Here is a 20,711-nt window from a genome sequence, read left to right as displayed (position 1 = left end):
CTGAAATTCAAAAATAAGACAGCCAGAGAAAGACATTATATTTATGAGAATGATACAAATGACAGCTGATGTCTCATCAGAAACAATGGAGGCCAAAAGACAATAAATGCCTGCCAAGTGCTGTAAGAAAAAAAGCTATCAACCCAGAATTCCCCATCAGTGAAATGATCCTTCAAAGATTAAAGTGAAATAAAGTCATTTTCCATGAACTCATTTTCAAAGCGTTTCAATGAGCCTAAACTTGTCACTGGACTACAGTTCTCAAAGAAATCATTCAAGCTGAAAAGGAAAGACCTCAGATGTCACTCAAATCTATAGGAGACAATGAAGAACATCAGAAATGGTCAATGTTTGGCAAATATAAAAGATACATTCTTTTTTCTCTTAATCATTTAAATGACGCTTGTTTTAAGTGAAAATGATAGCATCGTACTGTTGCGTTTATTATGTATGTAGCTGTAATATATGTGAAAAACCAAGGAAGAGAGGAGAGGGTGAATGGAACTATACTGTTCCAAGGTTCTGTATTTTATGAAGCTGTATCATATTAACCCTAAGTGGATGGTAGTAGGTCAAAGATGTATGCTGTAATACCTAGAAGAACCATTTTAAAAATATGGTGTATAGTTTATAAACCAATAGAAAAATTAAAACACAAAACTGTACTTGTACCCCCTAAATCTATAAAAATAGGCCAGGCTTGGTGGCTCACATCTGTAACCCCAGCACTTTGGGAGTCTGAGGAGGGCAATTCACTTGAGGCCAGGAGTTCAAGACCAACCTGGGCAACATGGCGAAATCCCATCTCTACTAAAAATACAAAAAAATTAGCCTGGCATGGTGGTGCATGCCTGTAATCTCAGCTACTTGGGAGGCTGAGTCACAAGAATCCCTTGAACCCAGGAGGTGGAGGTTGCAGTGAGCCAAGATCACGCCACTGCACTCCAGCCTGGGTGACAGAGCGAGACCCCGTCTCAAAAAAAAAAAAAAAAAAAGAATACTTTTTTAAAAAGAGAAATTAAAACAAAATCAGAGAAAAAGACATTATATATATGAGAATGCTGATATTCTCATATATCTTAATATATGATATATAATATATAATAATAATGATATAATGATATATAATAAAAATATTCAACCTGAAAGAAGGCAGGAAAAGAGGAGCAAAGAAAAAAGCCAAATGGTAAACTCAATCTAAACATATCAATAATTACAGTAAATGTAAATTGACAAATGCTAAGTAAAAGGCAGAGATCATTAGACTAAATAAAAAAGCAAGACCCAAACTATATGCTATGGGATGAACTTCAAAAACACAAATAGGTGAAAAGTAAACAAATTAAAAAGATATATTGCACCATGTAAATTATAAGCATAAAAATCATTTCTATTTGGCTTTGATATGAACAGCTTTTTACATTTATCTTTTCACTTAAATGTACCTGTTTTTAAATAATGGATTACATTCATTCAACACCAACTATTATCAACCATGACCTGTAACAACCTCAATAGGGAAAAAATGAAGTAAAACATAGGGAATTTAAGGTGACTTACAGTTTTTCTTTTAAATGAGTCATATGGCTCCTTTCCTTCTCCTTCCAGTATGAGTGATGAAACACCGTAACAGGGCAAACCTTTTAGGACTTGCTCATTTCCCTCATCTATACTAAAGCAAAATGTTCAGCCTTTGATCTAGCTGTTGGAGCAAGTAATGATTCTGGATCACCTTTGCGTCATTCATTTTTATTAATGTTTATTTTGTTCCTTGTATTTACTTTACTAGTACTTTTTGGGTTTTTGTCTATTTCTGTGACTCTCTGAGGTGAGGCCAGACCATTCTAAGCTGATGTGCCCTACGAAGCTGCACCCCACAGGCTAGAGCACAACATTCCCTCACCTAATTTTCTTACGCCTCTTGGTAATCATCAGCAGTTTTTTTCTTTCACTTACAAGGAAAGTCTTTGAGTTTAGCTCTTTCTACAGTAGGGACTTTCTAAAATAGTTTCAAAATTAGACAAATTTGTATTTTTCTACATTCTTTAAACAATACTGAAGCTCTGATGCTCCCTCACACTTAGACAATTCATAGCTGGGGCAGGGCTGGAAAGAACATGACCGTAACAACAAAGCAAGCTCATACTAAGCATGACTACAAAGAATGGTTTTGTGGCATGTGACAAATCTGCTCAACCATACAAGTGAAAGGAGCAACACCAATTCCCTTCTGGCCATCTGGGCTTTGTAAGTGATTGTCTATCCCAACAAACTCCACTTGTACATAGCACCATTTTTTCACAAACTGAGACCTTGGAAAATACTCACCTAATAAACTGACAATCCCACCATAGACAGAACCCCACCGTTTATTTCATCATTTTAGAAAACACTTTTGAGATGTTTTAAAAGGTAATTTCTCTGCAAATACTATGCTACATTTGAATACAAATGCCTTAACTAAATGTACCACTGAACAAAGGTTATTTTAAAGGGTAACGTGGAAAAAGGGCAAGAGATTGCTTGCGTTGTTTTCTTCTGAAAACTCAGCAATAACCGGATGCTTCAAGACTTTTCTTTATAACATGGCCACGTTTTAAACTACGCAGGACAGATCAGCAAGGGATTTAGTGGCTAGCTAAACACTAAAATGATTCATTTCAATTTGCCATGCAGTTTAAGTAAAGCTCTAAGGGCCTGCTATGCCTCCTATCAAGAGTAAATATCACACATCCTGTTTATGCAAACTGGCTTGTTGTCCACAGGTTTTCAAAGAGCTGGTGACACCCCCTAACACTGCACCCTACCCCCCCAGCTTCCTGCTCACTGGGGTGCTATATTCCTACTTATTTTTAAGAAGCACCTCCCTCAACAGAAATACTCTGAATTACAACAATTTTTAAAGAAAATACTTTATTATGTCATGAAAAAAAAGGCATCAACCAACTAGATTCATACTTGTTTGAAAAAAAATGGAAAATTTATTAATTAGACAGTATGTGGGCATCCTGTTCCACATGGGAATGAGAAGATGCTATAGGTTCTCTAAGTATTGCACAGTCTGAAAAAATAACAAAAAAAGGGAAGGGGAGGAAAAAAAAAATCACATGATATTGGGAACCATCTCACATTATGAATAATCTACCAAGAAACATTTAAAAAAGAAAACCCTTTGTTTCTACAGTAGCTTTAAGTTTATAGTTCTTGGAATGACTGTATTCCATTGAAGACATCTCAGTAACAGGAAGCTGTTTTAGCAATCCCATGTGCAAATATTAATAAAAAATATATAAAATAATGCAATTCATCTCTTGCCTTCACCCCGGCAATCATGACATTTCTGAGAACTGTTTTGCTTGAAAATGGGTTAAGCTGTAAGTTTTGCCTGAAGCTCCATCTCTGCAGCCCGTTTGAGTGCAACATCCACTAGAAGCTGAAATCCACTGAAGTCCTGGTTGAGGTCCGGTGGAGTAGGGGGAGGAGTGTTGAAAAGACCACTCTGTGTATTCGTACTTGGTCCAGATTTACAAGTGTCCTCTGGGTACATGAGAGAGGTGTCTGTGAAGTTTTTGGCCGCTATCTGCTGTATATCTGTGTTTTGTCCCACACCGACCGACTGGCAGAGAGAGAAAGGGACATCTTTCAATGCAGTCACAGTGGTATGGCAGATCACTGATGGACGAGCCAAAACTGATCCCGGGGATGACGGCTTAGGAGACAGTGGCCTCCCTAGGGTTGGGTTTGGCCCAGCTGTACAGGAATGAAATGGGGTCTCCTCTAGAGCTGGCATGAAGTTTTTGATGCCCATCACGGACTCCACAGAGCTCGTTTCAGAAATCTTGGCCCCACGGCGGGAAATTGTGAACTGATTTGGATCTTTGCCATCCTTTCTCAGCATGTCAGGGAGGAGCCTGCGGCGGGCGTTGATGAACCAGTTACAGACCTGAAATCATATCGGTACGCTTTAACATTTTCCTCATTCACTCAGCCAACGGGTTCTGAGAATGTTCTATGGGGTACCTAATTGATCTTGCTCTCTGAATTAAAGAAAGCATGAAAAGCCTTATCTGAATTTACAATGTTATTTCAAGGTATCTGAGCTCCGCCAAGAAAGCAAGCTACCACCTGTCATAAGCCTTCTAGTTTCTAATACAAATTTCCTTTTTTGTCTCTTCATACTTAAACCTTTTCAGGACGAAGAAAAAGACATACAATCTCAAATGCTTAAAAATGATTTGAGAGAGAGGTTTACTTTTTAACTCTCCCCATTTTAACCTATCACCTACTGCCCCAACATTTAAGTTAATCAACTACAGGAAAACCTCTCCTTATGAAAAGGGCCACTCCTCCCAGTAACTGATTTTTCCCAGTTCAAATGACTGTGTCAACAGACATAACATGAATTACCTCACTGAAGTCGTCCTTGTTTAAATATCAAACCAGTTTCCTGGACAATAGAGTAAGGTTTAACCTCCTTTTAATGTCTGTTGCATAAAGGAAGGTTCTTTTAGGCATTAAAGGAAATGCTATCTGATAGATGACTGTCAAGTGTTTCTGTGTTCTCTAAATAGCTAGTTATTAGCTTTTAACACTATCAAGTTTACAATAAAAAGATATTCCTTCTGTCTTTGAGTGGCAAGGAGCTTAATGACTTGACACACAGGAATGCCATAAAATGACTTTGAAACTAAAAATGCATCCATAAACCTCACGCTCTCTTTCTTTACCTGTAGCGTAGACAGGTGTGTTTGCTGGGACAGCAACGCTTTTTCTTGCTCTGAAGGATAGGCATTGTAACGGTGCTCATACAGCCAATCCCGAAGAATCTGCACAGACTCCTTGGGTAGGTTGCCCCTTCTCCTTCTCTTGCCTGAGCCAGCGGATGAAGAAAGGTCCAAGGGAATGTCCATGCTGTCCTCATCCTCAGTCTCACTGCCAGATGCTGCAACAATACCTAGGAAAGGACAAGGGCCAGTTGTCAGTTGCTTTATAAGCACAGCAACTATTGCAAAGCTCACTTAACGCTGACCATTCAATGTAACCATGCTTTCCCAACAACTGAGAGCGAGGAGAAGGAGCAGTGTTTTCTGTCCTGAATTCAGGGTCCAAGTAAAAGTAGTTTGACTAGCACCACATAGGAGGCTCTCAACCAAATGCCAGATGCCTTTTCTCAGCCGCTTTCCTCTAGGATTCATTAACTTCTCACATTCCTTTTGAATGATGGTCAGAAAACTCTTTCGTCTAATCATTGGAGGAGACAAACTGCACCCAAAATGAATAACCTGCCACATTTGAAACAGGAAGGGTGCTGTGGCAGTTGGAATATGCCTACCAACCTTCTTTCTAAGATCAGTGCTAACTAGGAAAAGCAACCTAACCAGTCCTAATGTACATTTTAAATGCTACTCTTCCTCCTTCCTCTACTGAAGGTTTGAAATGAAAGGGAGCACTCGTACATTTTTTTTCATGGATATAAGGAAGGAAAATTACATACTACGCTGAACCCAGTTAGTATTCTAAAGGTAAAACACATGTTAAAATTTTCTGCTAACACCATGCATGGTCATTTCTTATTCATTGCTATCCACATTTATTCAAAGTTAGACACCTACTTTAAATGGGCAGTACTAGTCACCTTTTATTAAATACGACCACTGATGTTTTCAGTTTCATCACACAAAAATATTTTTCTACTACTGGTACTTTAGTAAGGTCAAAAGATGCCTAATACTAAATGAATTAAAAATGTCTCCTAAATTTCAGCTACCAGTTTGAGCTCAACCTAGAATAGAATACTACATATCAATAAGCAGAGTTCAGTCTTAAATGATTACATGACAAAGGAAACTGAATATGCAAGCCCCAGAGGAAGCTCTTTTGGCTGTAAGTACTTTAATCCTGCCAGAAATTTTAAGAATTCACAAGCCATAGAGAATATTTAAATCACAGATGGACGGGGTTCAATAAAGCTCCAGAACTGGCCTTTACAGATATTTAAACATCATTCTGAACTTAAAAAAAATTAAATAACAAACGCTATTAATTCCACCTTTCAAAAACTACAGCAGGCTACTCCGAATGACTAAAGAAATACATTCTTTTGCTTGTAGACAATCTAGAATCTTAAAAACAGAAATGAATTACAAACAATGGCATGCTTGAAAAAAATCAGTACTTCTATATTAGGGGAAGTAATTAAAATAACAAAAATGTAAAGGTAAGCATTTTTAGCTTTGTATGCTTTCTTTCCTCTGTAGTATGTAATTTTGGTTGAAAATATGACTTGACCTTAATTGAGCCAGTTCCCCTTGACAGGAAATAAACACGGAATATTCCTCTTAAGCTAAACACCGTGTTTTTTAAAGGAATTTTTCCCACCCTTTTAATGACTCTGACTTGGTGACACATTTTTAGTTTTGGACTGCAGGGGGCAGAAGGTGCTGCAGGGTATTCCTACAAAAGGCAGAACTCTCCAAAGACAAAGTAAAGTTCTAACAAAGAGGTGGATGATCTTGCAAATTCACTTTAGCTCACAGCTTAACAAACAGCTACAAATAAACTGCACAAGAATCCTAAGTTTTAACTGCCATGTATTTGAAATTCCCCTCCCCTGATGATTTAAGTTTTTAAAAAGGTTTTTAAAAGTGCCCATTTAAAACTGAAACTACTTTCACTATTGGCAAGATGAGACTTTCAAAACCTATATTGAAATTTGGGTGAAGAACTATTAATAAAATAGCTTAAAGAAATTATAGCTGAGTTCCTGTCTCACATTGGCTTTAATAATTAAAGAAATCGAACTTTTAAAAAAAGTGTTAAGTTAATTAAATGACTAAAGCAAATTTGAATAAAGCAATTTGTTTAAACTCTCCAACGTCTGAAAAGCCAGACATTCTTCTCAAGGCTATTATCTCCTTCCTTTTTTTAATCTAGAAAAAGTGTGAAAATTTGCTCATTGAACAGTGAATTCCCAACTGTAAGTTGGTAATCACAAAGAGTTTGAAACAAAAAAAGCCCCTGAAGGCTGCCCTTTGATCTGCTTGCCTAGTTTGACAAGAAGCCTGATCTTTCAGAATAGGTTAGTGACACACAAAAGCAGGTTTCAGTTAAGCAACACCAAACTGCAGCGCGACTTTACTCTGTTCTCAGTTCATTTAAATAAATGAATGCCAGACCTCTGGAACTCTTAACAAATATTTCCAATATGTGCACAAAAGCTGAAGTAACAGGAAGTTAAGACTTCAGTGCCTTGGCTACGCCAGCTGATATTTCACTGCAGTAAAACCACGTTTGCTGCTGTCAGGACTGTTTTCATTAAAACTCTCCCTCCTAGTTGTGGCTCAGCTTGGAAAAACAAAGACTTTTTTCCTCCTTACTCATTTCCTATTGTAACAGCGCTTTTGAAAAGTTTCCCGGTTAAGACTTGTTTCCAAACGTCTTGCTTTGCTTACACTTTAAAAAATGTGGCGGTGGGGAGGGTGGGGGCAGGATCACAAGCTTCTTTCACGCTATCCACATACAAGGAAATGTTGTGGAGAAAGCCACAACATGGCCTGAGGATCCCACCGCCCTAAGCAGCGACCTTGTTCCTGCACGTTCTTTTTTTTTTTTTTTTTTTTTTGAGACAGAGTTTCGCTCTTGTCACCCAGGCTGGAGTGCAATGCCGCAACCTCGGCTCACCGCAGCCTCCGCCTCCAGGGTTCAAGCGATTCTCTTGCCTCAGCCTCCCGAATAGCTGGGATTACAGGCAAAAGCCACCACGCCCGGCTAATTTTGTGTTTTTAGGAGAGACGGGGTTTCTCCATGTTGGTCAGGCTGGTCTCGAACTCCCGACCTCAGATGATCTGCTCGCCTAGGCCTCCCAAAGTGCTGGGATTACAGGCGTGAACCACCGCGCCCAGCCCTGCACTTTCTTTTCTGAATAGCTCGGTAACATCATGAGACAGGGAGGCAGGGAGACACCGGTTGTGAAGAGACTCTAGAAATAAGATTGATGGGAAAAGTCGAGATGCACAATTAGGAAAAAGCAAATTTAACTCAACAAGTTTCCTGACCAGAAGTTCTCCTTTGAGCTGGGAGCAATGTCTCTTGCCTGTAATCCCAGAACTTTGGGAGGCCAAGGCGAGAGGATTTCTTGAGCCCAGGAGTTCGAGACCAGCCTGGGCAACATAGCCAGACCCGGTCTCCAGGAACAAAAGAAAAAAAAAATCAGTATCTCCTTGGGAGAAGCAACAGGCATTGAACACTCAAGCCACCAAATCCAAGGTATGGTTGGCTACCCCAGCCAAAGAGCAATCCCAAAGCAGGAATTCAACAGTTAAAAACTGGGAGCAAAAAGACTTAGTGGATTTTCCTTATCGATCCTTCTCATTGTTTTTAAGTCATTTTAGGAGATCTTTTGGCGTCACTCTCAGCTTTCTGGGAGGACACACTATTATCACAAACCAAGCTTACCCCGGGCTCAGGAATGGAGCTGAAAGTGCACTTGTTTTAAGAAAACTTGAAAAGATTTGCAGACTTTTATAAGACAAGACAGTAAGGAGGGCCCGACTTCCTCAGGAGTCTTTCCAGAGCCGACGGGGAAGGCTCCCCCCTCCCAGGTAGTTTTAGAGGAGGACGGCGGAGGAGCACGGGGAGAGGGAGGGGCCCAAGGAGGAAAAGCAAGTAGCTTTTGTTCTTGAGAGTTCCTCGGCCTCAAGTGAAACAGGCCGGCCCGCACACTGCACGAGTTAGCACAAGCAAAGGAACTCCAGGACCCAAGAAACTAGAAATGAGGCCGTGAATCCCACCTTCTCAGAGGCCTGCCCACCCCAGACGACTCGCCAGGGAAACCTAAAAGGGGAAAGAAACCCGGGTAACCTCGGCAGCCTCGGCTCCCCCAAAGAGCCCTGAACCAGTCGCAAAGTTTCCCCTTCAGCCCGTCACCTTTCATTGTTTCCAGGAGTCGGCGCCGAGGAGCTGGACCCTGTGCGCCCTGGGATGGGGACCGCGGAAGTTCCCACCGATGCGGCCGGCGGGGCCCAGCCTTGGTCCCCAGCTCCGGGGAGAGGGCACGCGGCTGTGGGCAGCGCGCCGGTGGAGGAGGGGGGGCGCAGGAGGACCCCAGGAGCGCAGAGGGGGTCGCCAGGGAGGACCACGGCGCTGGGGGAAGGTAGGCCAAAGTGCCGCGGGAGAGTCGGGGGGACGCCAGAAAAGCCGTGGAAAAGGAGCACTGGGGATTCCCGGGGTGGGAGGCGGGCCATGGAAAGGAATCAGAGCCGCCCCCGCCGGAGCCCGAACAATGCGGGGAGCCCACCCCGGCAGACACCCGGCTCTGCGCTAGAACCATCCTCGAAACACAGAGCCCCTCACTTATTCCCGGGAGGCCCACCACAACAGACAGCGCGTGTCTCTAGACCTGTCAGTCCTCCCAAGGGTCGGCACGGCTTTCACGGGGCGTCTCGGACGCCCCCCGCGCGTTTTCTCCCAGGGCCAATTCCCTGTCCCGAGTCCTCCCTCCGTCCCGCGGGGAGGGGTCCTTAGGGCGTTCTACCAACAACGACTGCCAGTTGATCCGAGTTTCAAGTTTAATTTCACTCTCGCTGGGAAAGCCTGGAGGCAGAGGGAAGCTCCGCGCGTTTCAGGGCCTCCCACAGAAACGCAGCCGAAGGAACCCCGCTGGCCTTGAGGCTACCCCCCAGGAACGCCCCGCAGCGGGCCGGGTCTGAAAGAATGTGGAGTTCCAAACTCCAGGCGGCTCCCGGGCATGCGCAGTAGCGCCGCCCCTCCCGTCCGCTTCCCGAGTGATTAACTTCTGTTTTGAACCACTCCACATAAATCACGACAGAAACGCCACCTCCAGCCCACAGCGGAACACTCGGGGGACCTCCCAGCCAGGGACTCAATTTTTGTTAACTTCAAAAGGGACTTCACACTCTGACCTTTCGGGGTGTTTTGTGTGGTTTCTCCACCCCCCGTCCCCCTCCGGTGTATTTTGTTTTTAAACCAAACTGACGGCAAGTTTTAGTTGTAAAGCTTCCAGAACACTTCGTGGAAACAATGACAGCCTTGCTCTTTGCACTTACAACCAAGCCTGCTTGTCACATTTGGACGCATTTTGACTGCATGCCGCTTGAAGCTGCTGGCCCTGGGTGCTAACTCTTCCTCCTGCCCCAAAATTCATCGTGGGAAAACTTTTAGAGACTGGGGATTTGTAAAAGTCTAGCTTTCCAAAGCTGTTTACACCCGAGGGCGATGAGGGGGTCCAGAATCGCATTCCTTCGATCGTAAAAACACCACATCCCTAAAGAACAGTGCTAGGGCCCGGCTGGGAGTAGGGGGGCGGCGGGGGCGGGGGCGGGGGGAGCCTAGGAGTGGAACTTTCAGACAAAGCCGCGGCGGTCCCGCGGCCCCGGCCGCCTGGGTCCGGATCGGGAAAAACGAGGGGCTGGGTCCTCCCTACTCGGACCCCATATCCCCAGCACGCGAGAAAGAGCGAGAAGCCACGCGGCGGCTGGGCCGAGCGTGGGGTGTCGGCGGAGACAATGAAACTTGCAGGCGCACAAACAAGGCGCTGAGCGTGTTTCTTGACAACGTGCCAGCAGCGTGGAGAGGCTCGCCCCACAACAGCCCCTCGTGTTGTGTCTAGCAGGAAAACAGCCGCTGCCGTTTCAGACGCAGCCTCAACAAAGAGCACGGCCGCCACTCCAGCATGAGAGCCCCTGGGCGGAAAAGTCCACCAAGTGACTCCGCGCGGCGCGGCCCGGCCAGCACGTTTCCCCGGACTCGCGTCTTCTGGTGCGCGCAGCCCGCGGCCGCCTTACCTTTCTTGCCTTTCATTCTGGATCTCCCCTCCCAGCGCGAGGCAAGGCGGGGGTCTGGAGGGGCCAGGAGCGGGGACACAGGGGATAAGCGAACGTCTCCTTCACAGCCGACTCTCCCGTAACTTGTAGGACGTGCTCCAGCCGTTATTGCTAAACAGGACGCTCTGATCCCAGGCGCCCGCTCCTTGGGTGGAATTCAAGTGACACTTGGGCTTCCTCCCGCCGGGATCTTCTGGCAGCCGGCCGGGGGCTCTCCCTCGCCCAACTCTCTCCCCTCCCCTCTCCGCTCCTTTGTTCCCTGCTCCTGCTCGGCGCACCTCGGCGCTGTCAGAGTGAGAGAGGCGAGGAGGGAAGGTACAGGAGGTCCTGCCTCCGCCCCCAGCCGCCCGCCCCGTCCCCCTCCCGCCCCGCCGCTCCTCCGCCCCTCCCCCGCACCTTCCAGCCGGGAAGACTGGACCGAGCGCGGCGGCCGCTGTCACTCGTCCCTCGGGGGCGGCGGTGCGGACGCGGGGGGTGGCCGGGTCCAGAAACACGATCCTTTCCGCCTGCCGCGCACGGACCGCCCGCATCCCTCGCCCGGCGGTGGGGGCACCAGCCGAGCGCCCCAGGTTTCTCCCTTGGGCCTTTCTTCCCGGGGCTGGCGAGGGTGCGTTTGGTTCGGAAACTGCAACAGATGGAAAAAAGGACACCTCCCTCCTTCCCTCCTCCACCCCCGGGAAGAAAAGCCTCCCCGTCTCGTTTTTGACAGCTGCCCCGAACTCTACTGGCCCTGCTCTAGCCGCACGAGACAGCCGCCTCTGATTCAAGGGGCGGGGCACGGGAGGAAAAGTATTCGAGACAAGAACCAACTTCTTCCAGAATGCGCGGCTGCCATTGACACGCGGGCGCGGCGCGGCGCACCCTTCTCCTCCCGGGGCTCTTCCTCCAGCAGCGACAGTGGGAGGTCGGCGGGGGTGGGGCGGGGGGGAATGATGAGACACAGCCTAAACGAACGTCTGTTCCCCCGGGCTAAAGCTGCGAGTTCCGGACTGGATTGCAAGGCAGTTTCGAAATCTGACACGTTGCGGACAGACACTTGTCACGCTCACATGCTCTTTAAACGTCTCTGCCCGGGGACGGCCGGGCGCGCGCCTGCCTCACCAAGACTCCGCCTGACACCCCGAGTCGCCGAACCCCGGCAGCGGCCACTTTTATAGCTAAGGGGTGACCACGCCGTGCCTGCTCGTCTGTTTCGGTCAACAGTGTCTACTCTTCGGATTGGAACCCTGCTAGGGGATCCCTCCTCCCATTTCAAACAGAAACTAGCCATTAAGTAAACACCCGTTCCTGTTGGCTTATTTTGGTCCACAGTTAGGAGGGATCCAACAGGAGTTTCTTGATGAAATTGCGCTTTCAAAGACCAGATGCTGTTTGGCTGACTTGAAGAAACGCATGCCCCCTCCTCTGGTTCTAGTTTTCGCGTGGTTACGTCCTGTTGTTTTGAAGCAAACGAACTGTCACATGCCACACAATGAGACTTCCCCCATCACTTTAAAAAAAGGAAAGAAAAGCCCTAAACGTAAATAAGCCTAGCAGAGACAGCGCCCGGGTCTGCCTCCAGTCTGGGCTCTGTGCTGTTTTTGTTCGGTAACCTCGGTGGAGATCCCGGCAGAAGAAACTCTGTGGAAATAAGATTAAACCCGAGGAGTACTAAGACGGCCAAGGGATAACTAACTCGACTTCGGAGCGTCTGTTTCAGGAACTAGAGCTAGCCTGCCACCCTCCCTCAAAAAAAAAAAAAAAAAAAAAGACACCCCCGCCCCTAGAATGCGTGGAGGCCAGAGTTTAAAAAGCCTGGGTGGTTTTTCCAATTACAGGACTAAAATGAATCAACAGGGAAAAAAAGCGTCTCTCTAAGAAGGCAGCAACCTTACGATTTTTTTCTTCTGTGGTTTGCTGACTGCTCGGGACAGAAGAGAACACACACCTAAAACGGCTCGGGGGGAGCGCGGTCCTGGGGACAAGCCACCCGCCCGGACGCTGCCCTGCAACTGCCGGGAGCACAGTTCCTTCCCGGACCTGGCTGCAGATGAATCAGCTGCTGCGCCCGGTGCGGGACAGATGTGGCGCAGGGAGGGGGCCAGCGCCCCCGCCGCCCGTTAGAGGGGGCCGCCTCGCTATTTCGTTTGAAGGGTTGTCTGTGGCTGGGATTGGTGGCTCCTATCCGCTGGGGAGCCGGGAGCGGAGGGAGGAGAGACGCAGGGAGGAGGAGCCGGGGGCTGGGCGACGCTGCGACTCCGCGGCCTGAGTGGCAGGAGCCTCGTCTGGAACCGGGCGGTTACTGGGGAGACGCTTTGTTTGCTAACTTCGAAAGCGGCTTCGGCTGCCTCGGCCGCTTTCGAAGCCACTCCACAAAACACGCCTTCGGTCGGTTTAACCCTACCTCCCCCCCCGCCCGCTTTAGCCAGCTCGAGACAAAAATGTTTCCCTCTTCCCCGTGGTTCTCCTTGGCCACGCGGTGGCTCTCATTATGTACACAAAGGTAGCTTTGCTTTCGTCCAAGTGGACTTGGCTAATGACTGCGATTCTCAGGCAACCGAGATGGGAACCGAGAATTGGAAAGGGTTTATAGCTTGAAAACAAACTTTCCAGGAGAAGGGGGGAGGGGCGGAGACAATTGAAAGCCTCTTTCGAATTAGGGGGAGGAAAAAACGGAGATGTGAACTCACCTTGGCTAGAAGTCAGGCTTGATCGGGCCAATGCACAACTTTTGCCCGAGCAAGTCATATCCAAACGGTTGTTAAAGCTGGCGAGGCACTCCAAAGAGAAACACTGGCACAATTCTGTGATGTAGCGAAAGCTTACAGCCCAACCGCTCCCGTAGATGCACCCCCACTGCCTCCCCCCAGCCAACGCTGATCTCAAACTTGTTTGGAGTTTCGGATTCTTGGTGCATTCTGGGAAGAAAGTGCCTAGGGTCAGCGCAACGTAACAAAGGGAACAGCCTCAAAAAAGTGGGCTTCAGATACCAGCAATTGCTTAGGGTATTTTTTGTTGATTCGTTTTTCTCGAGGTGGAAAAACAAGTTTCATTTCTAGCTCTGTCAGTCCCTTCCAGTCTCGGGGCCTTGCTATAAAACGGATTCAATGACTTTTAAGATTCTTTCCAGTGCTTTTTTTTTTTTTTTAAAGTATATAGATTCAAATTTGCTACATATTATTTGCTGATTCATATGAATGTTACTTGAATTGGGAAATTGCTTGAGTAAAATTGAGGCGTTGCTTGGTGCTGGCGGAGGCTACTGATAAACGTTTTTCACCATTATTTTTTTTCTCTCCAGGCACACATAGTTCCTTTTGGCGTCTTATCTTCTGAAGCTGCCTCAAGGCCAAGCAAAGAAAGTTGTTAAAAAGTTAAGTTACTTTTCACAGCCTGCAAACCCTTCAAAGGCAAGAACTCAAATAGAAACTTGGAAAGGCAGATAAGCCAGAAAAGTGTACTAATAAACGCACTTAATATGATTATTTTTTGATGCCAGGTCCACCAAGTGAAGATTGGAGGATGTATTTGTTTCTTCTACTCAACAACAATTGATAAAGCATGAGTTCCATCAAGGACTGTGTTCTAGGTGGAGAAAGGGTGACTCACCCAGTCATTGGATCTCTTTCACTTCCAGTCTCTGGAAGGCAGATATCTTTATAAAATATGCAGACAGCTAGGCTCTAAACACTGGACAAGAGGTCTGTAATCATCCAGTCACATCTCAGGTCAGAGGGTCTTGGACTGCTTAAGAAAGAGCTGACCATTGTCTTAAGAACCTGGGGTGGCCTAGAGCCATCTTGAGGTGATTTTATCAGCCCCATCAGGATAATTCTCCTCAGCTTCCTTGCATGAATAGTGTAACTGGTGCTACTACTTTTGTTTTTAGTCACTTTTCCTAGCCTGCACTTCCCTTCCCGGCCCTCCTTTTTCCTCTGTAGCCAAGTCATCACTTCTCTTTACCTAAATGAGTTTTGGAATCCAGGGGATAAAACGAAAAGATAGGCAGGGCGCTGTGGCTCACACCTGTAATCCCACCACTTTGGGAGGCCGAGGTGGGTGGATCACCTGAGGTCAGGAGTTTGAGACCAGCCTGACCAATATGGTGAAACCCCATCTCTACTAAAAATACAAAAATTAGCCGGGCGTGGTGGCGTGTGACTGTAGTCCCAGCTACTTGGGAGGCTGAGACAGGAGGGTTGCTTGAACCTGGGAGACAGAGGTTGCAGAAAGCTGAGATCGTGCCATTGCACTCCAGCCTGGGTGACAGAGCAAGACTCTGTCTCAAAAACAAAAACAAAAAAACGGAAAGATAATTCCTTGAGCACAAGCTTCACTCTCCTTATTCTCAACATCTGTGTCTGTATTATTCTTTACAGTTTATGAAACACTTATTTAATCTCACTTAATGCCCAAACTAGTGATGTTAGTTATTTTTTTTAAAAAGTCAAGATCACTTAACACATCCAAATATAACAAAGTTAAAAGGCATAAAACTGGGTACCCAACATAAATTATCTGATTATAAATCAAGTGGTCTCTGGGAAATCTTGTCATTTCAGAAGGTCAGATGGATGTGGAGGGCAGAAACTAACCTCAGATTATGCCAGGGACGCCAGGGCCTCCTGAACACTGTGGGGGGTTGTGCTCTGAAATCTACCTCCAGTTTTACAAGAAGCTCTCTTCCAATCTGTCTGCGCTTTTTTTTTTTTTTTTTTTTTTGCTTTTCTTCTCTTTTTTTTTTTTTTTTTTTTTTTTTTTTTTGAGACAGAGTCTTGCTCTGTCACCCAGGCTGGAGTGCAGTGGCGCAATCTCGGCTCACTGCAAGCTCTGCCTCCTGGGTTCACGCCATTCTCCTGCCTCAGCCTCCCGAGTAGCTGGGACCACAGGCACCTGCCACCACGCCCGTCTAATTTTTTGTGTTTTTAGTAGAGACAGGGTTTCACCATGTTAGCCAGGATGGTCTCGATATCCTGACCTCATGATCCGCCCGCCTCAGCCTCCCAAAGTGCTGGGATTACAGGCGTGAGCCACTACGCCCGGCCTTCTTCTCATTTTTTAACTACAAAAAAAGTTCTGAAAATTCAAGCAAGAGAGAATATACTAAGTGAGACATGGCCGACCTGGTAACTGCCCCCTTCCATTCTTCATTTAGGCATTTGTATATTATGCACAAAGGCAATGGGTTTTCCATTGTTACTTGTTCCCAAGTCCCCTCTGCCCGGGATGTTCCTTCACCACTTGTTGATCCTCTGGCAGTTTCTCACCAGTCAAGGCTAGGCCTAAATGTTACTTCTTAGAGGAGTCTTCGCTGATCACCTGACCTAAATTAGGTAGCCCCGCTGCCATCGTGTGGCTCAGGAGTTCTCAACCACAGCCCTATTGACGTTTGGGGCTGGATCATTCTTTCTTGTGGGGCTGTCCTGTGCATTGTAGGATATTTAGTGACATCCCTGGACACTAACCAGTGTGTGCCAGTGGCATCCTTCCCCCAAGCTGTGACAAACACAGATGTCTCCATATGTTGGCAGATGTTCCATGGGGATAGAAATCCCCATGGGGAGGAGGATCACCCCTGGTTCAGAACCACAAATCTAGCTCAATCCTTTATTTCTTCCATAACATCACAGTTTTCAATTATTTTGCTTACTTGACTGTTGGCTTGGTTTTTTCCCTCTGACCTCCCACTCAAATGTATGTTCATTATTAAATCTTTTTTTAAATTTGTTTTGTTTTTTTATTTTTAAAAAATTTTCATTATTAAATATTTATGCACTTAAGTGAACCGAGATCGCACCACTGTACTCAAGCCTGGGTGACAGAGTGAGACTCCGTCTCAAAAACAACAACAACAAAAAACAAAAACAAACAAAACCTTTATGTACTTAATACAGTGCCTAACACATCATAGGTACCCAATATTTATCAAATGAATAATGCATGAAAGTGAGACTATATGGGAGCTAAATGATAAGAACTTACGAACACAAAGAAGGAAACATCAGACACTGGGGTTTACTTGAGTGAGGAGGGTGGGAGGAGGGAGAGGAGCAGAAATTTTGGGTACTGGGCTTATCTGGATGATGAAATAATATGTACAACAAACCCTGTGACATGTTTTCTTATTTAAGAAACCTTCACATGTACCACCAAATGTAAATTAAAGTTAAAAAATTTTAAAAAGACAAAAAAAAAAAAAAAGAAAAGAAAGTGAGACTATAAGAATAATTTAAAATAAGAATACAGGCCGGGTGCAATGGTTCATGCCTGTAATCCCAGCATTTTGGGAGGCTGAGGCAGGTGGATCATGAGGTCAGGACCTCGAGACCAGCCTGGCCCATATGGTGAAACCCGTCTGTACTAAAAATACAAAAATTAGCTGGGCATGGTGGCACAGTGGTGGCACGCGCCTGTAGTCCCAGCTGCTCGGTAGGCTGAGGCAGGAGAATCGTTTGAACCCGGGAGGTGGAGGTTGCAGTGAGCCGAGATCGTGCCACTGCAGTCCAGCCTGGGTGAAAGAGCTAGACTCCGTCTCAAAAAAAAAAAAAAAAGAAAGAATACAATCATTTATTGTATACAGCATGCCAGGCAGTATGCAAATACTTTCCTTCTTTTATTTTATTTACTACTTAAAACAACCCTAAGAAGTACTCATGGCCAGGTACAGTGGCTCATGTCTGTAATCCCAGCACTTTGGGAGGCCAAGGCGGGCAGATCATCTGAGGTCAGGAGTTCGAGACCAGCCTGGCCAACATGGTGAAACCCCATGGTGAATTCAAGTGAATTTCAAGTGAATTCGTGAGGCACGAGAATTCACTTGAACCTGGGAGGTGGAGTGAGCCGAGATTGCGCCATTGCACTCCAGCCTGGGTAACAGAACGAAATTACATCTCAAAAAAAAAGTTCTCATTATTATTATTTTCATATTATATTGGCTGGGCTTCGTGGTATACACCTGTAGTGCACAGAGTTAGAGCCTGCAGAGCCTGGAAGTTCAAGGCTGCAGTGAGCTATATTGCACCACTGTTGTCCAGTCTGGGAGACAAGAGCGAAACCCTATCTGGAAAAAAAAAAAAAGTATTATTATCCCCACCTTACAGATGAAGAAGTTGTAGTCTGTGGGAGTTAATTAATTTATCCTGCCAGTATAACCCATGAGCCAATAATCTAAACAATACTAATATTCTGCAATTTGCTTTTTCATTTATTTTCTTAGTAATGAGCATTTAATTGTTTCCAATGTGTAACTCAGCACAAAAAGATAGTGCAATTACATTTGAAATATTTAACAACTGATAGAATACGCGCATCAGCCAATTAGAAGAGCCCCTTCTGATTGTGTACTGGGGCATACTGATAATGAACCGGCTGGGCCCAACAGAATGTTAGTTTGTATGCAGATCTTTTGGGGCTTCTGTGAGCATATCTGTAGGAGTTTCTGGGAGGTGGAATAGCTGCATCAAAACGTGTTTCATTCAGAATTTTGATAGATATTGCCAAATTGCCTCCAAATGATCTTACCTATTTAAAATCTCACCAAAGTTATGTGAGATCTCTTTCTTTGTGCCCTCACTAACGCTGAATATTATCAATCAATTTCCTATTTGTCTATCTCCCAGGTAAGTAAATGGAACCAAATGTTTTTATTGTTCACATTTCTTTGAGAGGGTGAGCCCATTTTTGTGTATGTATTAGTCATTTTTATTTCTTCTTCTTGCTTATTCATAACATTATTTTTTAAAGATTTTTTATTTATTTAATAAAAGTAGAGATGCGGTCTCACTATGTTGCCCAGGCTGGTCTTGAACTCCTTGGTTTCAAGGGATCCTCCCATCTCAGTCTCCCAAAGTGCTTGGATTACAAGTTGAGCTACTGCACAATCCTGTTCATAACTTTTGCCAACTTTTCTATTGTATTGATTTTTTTTGTATATTCTTTTTTCTTTTCTTTTTAAAATGATAAGTAAGGGACAGCCTATTTTTGTATTAGCTTAAAAGCTCATCTGACAAAGAGCAAAAAGCAGTGAACTAATATTATAAATGCAAGAAGGCAATGTGTCCCCATTTGTTTAAAAAAAAATCATTGGACTAAGTACTATATTTATATTATAAAAGACCTTCAGAATACTGTACCAGTTTTTAACTTATTCCTTTTCTTTCCATTAAAGGGCTAATTCATCCACATTTCCATTTATCACAGTTACTTCTTCCCAAAGCTCTAGAGTAGCCATTTATAATAGCAATAAAATGATGAAATATCTAGGAATAAAATTGACAGAAATTTCTGCAAGTTTTATAAAGAAAACTTTAAAACCCTACTGAGAGACATAAAGGAAGACAAGTAAAATAAAAGACAACTTATTCTTTCTAGCAAGATCCAATAGTGAAAGTTATATAAAGATGTTTATTCTCCCCAAATCAGTCTTTAAATTCAAAGTGATTTTCATTAAAATACCAACAGGGCTTTCTTTTTCTTTTTAATTGATGAAACAATGCCACAGTTCATTGAAATTAAAACCTCACAGCAGCTGGGGAAATTCTGAAAGAGAAGAGCTGGTATAGGGGAACACTGGGGAAGCCTTCCAAATATTAAAGCATATTTTGAAGTCTATAATTTAAATGTAAAAGTTTTATGCTGGAGAAATAATAAAGAAGAAACAATAAGGAGGCAGATTAGAATATAATGGGGATTTAGATTTTGGCAAAGGTGGCTTTTCATATCAGAGATAAATTGAATTGGGATAATTGACTACCTTCGGTTAAAAAAATAAAGCTAAATCTCCATTTCACTCCCTTAACATAAGTACAATTCATCTGAATGAAATGTAAAAGTAATTTAAAATGCACCTATGTATATTCTAGAATAGTGGTTCTCAAAGCAGGGTGTGTATGTGGCAATTTTTCCTTCCAGGGAACATTTGACAATGTCGGGAGACATGTTTGGTGACTGCAGCTGGAGAGGAGGTGTTGCTACTGGCATCTAGTGGATAGAGACCAGGGATGCTGCCCAACATTCTACCACGCACACCACAGCCCCCACACCAAGAATTCTCCTGTTCAAAATGTCAGTAGTGCCAAGGGTGAAACACACACTTCTAGAAGAAAGCATGAGTAAATGTATGATCTTGGAGTGGGGAAGGCCTTTCTAACCAGAGCACAAAATCAAGAAATGATGAGATATAAATGTTTATAAGTACTTTGTTTCTTAGAAAGAATTTATGTTTAAGGAAAAATTGTATAAAATTTTCAAAAGCTAAGAAACTTGGAAAAATAGTTGTAGCACATTCAGGCATAAGCCCAATTGACTTAATTCATGAAGGGCTTATACAAACCGTAGAAAAGAAAAACTCTGTGTTTAAAAAGTTGGACAGCCTGTAGATTTGTATTTTACCTAAAAAGGAATCCAGATAACCAAAAAACATGGAGGGGGGGACATGAAAACTTTGTTTTTCTGTCATTACAACAATAAAGTAAATCAGACTGAACTGACATGGAAAGATTATTAATAGATGTTAAGTTGTTTTATTTAAAAGCCAGGTATAGAACTCTACAATATTATCCCTTTTGCATAAAATTTTTGTATGCCTGTATTTTTCTGGAAGGATAAGTGTAGAAAGATTAACAGTTACTACCTTTGGAGTGATGTAAGTGTGGAGAGGAAGACACCAGCCCAATCTTAGACTGACTCAGGGAGCCTACATCCGTTTTTAACAACTAAATAATAGTCCATTGTAACTATGGATATAATTTATGTACCAATGCCCAATTATCGGACATTTACGTTTCGTTCTCATTTGTGTTAAAGGAGATTTTTCACAAATCTTGTATAAAAACCTGAGCAGGCATCTGAAATGGGACACAGTTGTGTTTAGACTGGGGAAGGCCTTTCTAA

At 44.4% G+C, this 20,711-nt stretch overlaps 1 protein-coding gene and 1 long non-coding RNA gene across 14 annotated transcripts in view, besides 14 other annotated features; one reads left to right on the top strand and one right to left on the bottom strand.

Annotated features, from left to right (window-relative positions):
* Positions 1,330 to 20,711, bottom strand: part of TGIF1 (TGFB induced factor homeobox 1) — a 47,970-nt gene continuing 28,588 nt past the window's right edge. For 2 of the 13 annotated variants that reach the window (NM_174886.3, NM_001278686.3), the window contains exons 3-4: positions 4,728 to 4,954; positions 1,330 to 3,943 (exon numbers count right to left, since the gene is read on the bottom strand). In NM_174886.3, the coding sequence (NP_777480.1) occupies positions 3,368 to 3,943; positions 4,728 to 4,910 (759 nt within the window). In that variant the 5' untranslated portion in view covers positions 4,911 to 4,954 and the 3' untranslated portion in view covers positions 1,330 to 3,367. Of the gene's footprint in view, positions 3,944 to 4,727; positions 4,955 to 7,451; positions 7,535 to 8,925; positions 9,716 to 10,802; positions 11,137 to 11,237; positions 11,602 to 11,651; positions 11,741 to 12,768; positions 12,878 to 13,510; positions 13,767 to 20,711 lie in introns of those variants that run through there. The other 11 variants (NM_173208.3, NM_001278684.2, NM_173207.4 and 8 more) reach the window with 11 other exon arrangements.
* Positions 3,130 to 3,690: an enhancer, noted in NCBI's record as "H3K27ac-H3K4me1 hESC enhancer chr18:3457616-3458176 (GRCh37/hg19 assembly coordinates)". NCBI's record gives its function as "activates a minimal SCP1, AML or CMV promoter by ChIP-STARR-seq in naive H9 embryonic stem cells {active_cell/tissue: H9 hESC(naive)}" and the evidence as "EXISTENCE:reporter gene assay evidence [ECO:0000049][PMID:30033119]".
* Positions 5,472 to 6,091: an enhancer, noted in NCBI's record as "OCT4-NANOG hESC enhancer chr18:3455215-3455834 (GRCh37/hg19 assembly coordinates)". NCBI's record gives its function as "activates a minimal SCP1, AML or CMV promoter by ChIP-STARR-seq in primed H9 embryonic stem cells {active_cell/tissue: H9 hESC(primed)}" and the evidence as "EXISTENCE:reporter gene assay evidence [ECO:0000049][PMID:30033119]".
* Positions 7,956 to 8,575: an enhancer, noted in NCBI's record as "H3K27ac hESC enhancer chr18:3452731-3453350 (GRCh37/hg19 assembly coordinates)". NCBI's record gives its function as "activates a minimal SCP1, AML or CMV promoter by ChIP-STARR-seq in naive H9 embryonic stem cells {active_cell/tissue: H9 hESC(naive)}" and the evidence as "EXISTENCE:reporter gene assay evidence [ECO:0000049][PMID:30033119]".
* Positions 8,576 to 9,197: an enhancer, noted in NCBI's record as "NANOG-H3K27ac-H3K4me1 hESC enhancer chr18:3452109-3452730 (GRCh37/hg19 assembly coordinates)". NCBI's record gives its function as "activates a minimal SCP1, AML or CMV promoter by ChIP-STARR-seq in naive H9 embryonic stem cells {active_cell/tissue: H9 hESC(naive)}" and the evidence as "EXISTENCE:reporter gene assay evidence [ECO:0000049][PMID:30033119]".
* Positions 9,198 to 9,819: an enhancer, noted in NCBI's record as "NANOG-H3K27ac-H3K4me1 hESC enhancer chr18:3451487-3452108 (GRCh37/hg19 assembly coordinates)". NCBI's record gives its function as "activates a minimal SCP1, AML or CMV promoter by ChIP-STARR-seq in primed H9 embryonic stem cells {active_cell/tissue: H9 hESC(primed)}" and the evidence as "EXISTENCE:reporter gene assay evidence [ECO:0000049][PMID:30033119]".
* Positions 10,397 to 10,446: a silencer, noted in NCBI's record as "silent region_9257". NCBI's record gives its function as "represses an Ori minimal core promoter by ATAC-STARR-seq in GM12878 lymphoblastoid cells {active_cell/tissue: GM12878}" and the evidence as "EXISTENCE:reporter gene assay evidence [ECO:0000049][PMID:35858748]".
* Positions 10,652 to 14,302, top strand: LOC124904237 (uncharacterized). The gene is made up of 2 exons (XR_007066269.1): positions 10,652 to 10,776; positions 14,122 to 14,302. It is a non-coding gene; the product is annotated as an uncharacterized LOC124904237 (long non-coding RNA).
* Positions 11,087 to 11,246: a silencer, noted in NCBI's record as "silent region_9256". NCBI's record gives its function as "represses an Ori minimal core promoter by ATAC-STARR-seq in GM12878 lymphoblastoid cells {active_cell/tissue: GM12878}" and the evidence as "EXISTENCE:reporter gene assay evidence [ECO:0000049][PMID:35858748]".
* Positions 11,277 to 11,386: a silencer, noted in NCBI's record as "silent region_9255". NCBI's record gives its function as "represses an Ori minimal core promoter by ATAC-STARR-seq in GM12878 lymphoblastoid cells {active_cell/tissue: GM12878}" and the evidence as "EXISTENCE:reporter gene assay evidence [ECO:0000049][PMID:35858748]".
* Positions 11,684 to 12,303: an enhancer, noted in NCBI's record as "H3K27ac hESC enhancer chr18:3449003-3449622 (GRCh37/hg19 assembly coordinates)". NCBI's record gives its function as "activates a minimal SCP1, AML or CMV promoter by ChIP-STARR-seq in naive and primed H9 embryonic stem cells {active_cell/tissue: H9 hESC(naive and primed)}" and the evidence as "EXISTENCE:reporter gene assay evidence [ECO:0000049][PMID:30033119]".
* Positions 11,684 to 12,336: a biological region, named in NCBI's record as "H3K27ac hESC enhancer GRCh37_chr18:3449003-3449622".
* Positions 11,907 to 12,096: an enhancer, noted in NCBI's record as "active region_13046". NCBI's record gives its function as "activates an Ori minimal core promoter by ATAC-STARR-seq in GM12878 lymphoblastoid cells {active_cell/tissue: GM12878}" and the evidence as "EXISTENCE:reporter gene assay evidence [ECO:0000049][PMID:35858748]".
* Positions 12,197 to 12,336: an enhancer, noted in NCBI's record as "active region_13045". NCBI's record gives its function as "activates an Ori minimal core promoter by ATAC-STARR-seq in GM12878 lymphoblastoid cells {active_cell/tissue: GM12878}" and the evidence as "EXISTENCE:reporter gene assay evidence [ECO:0000049][PMID:35858748]".
* Positions 12,304 to 12,925: an enhancer, noted in NCBI's record as "H3K27ac hESC enhancer chr18:3448381-3449002 (GRCh37/hg19 assembly coordinates)". NCBI's record gives its function as "activates a minimal SCP1, AML or CMV promoter by ChIP-STARR-seq in naive H9 embryonic stem cells {active_cell/tissue: H9 hESC(naive)}" and the evidence as "EXISTENCE:reporter gene assay evidence [ECO:0000049][PMID:30033119]".
* Positions 13,047 to 13,116: a silencer, noted in NCBI's record as "silent region_9254". NCBI's record gives its function as "represses an Ori minimal core promoter by ATAC-STARR-seq in GM12878 lymphoblastoid cells {active_cell/tissue: GM12878}" and the evidence as "EXISTENCE:reporter gene assay evidence [ECO:0000049][PMID:35858748]".

This window comes from Homo sapiens, chromosome 18, assembly GCF_000001405.40.
Source record: "Homo sapiens chromosome 18, GRCh38.p14 Primary Assembly".
Lineage (NCBI taxonomy): Eukaryota > Metazoa > Chordata > Mammalia > Primates > Hominidae > Homo > Homo sapiens.
Note: the sequence above shows the minus strand (reverse complement) of the source record. Positions and strands in the feature narration are given on the sequence as shown.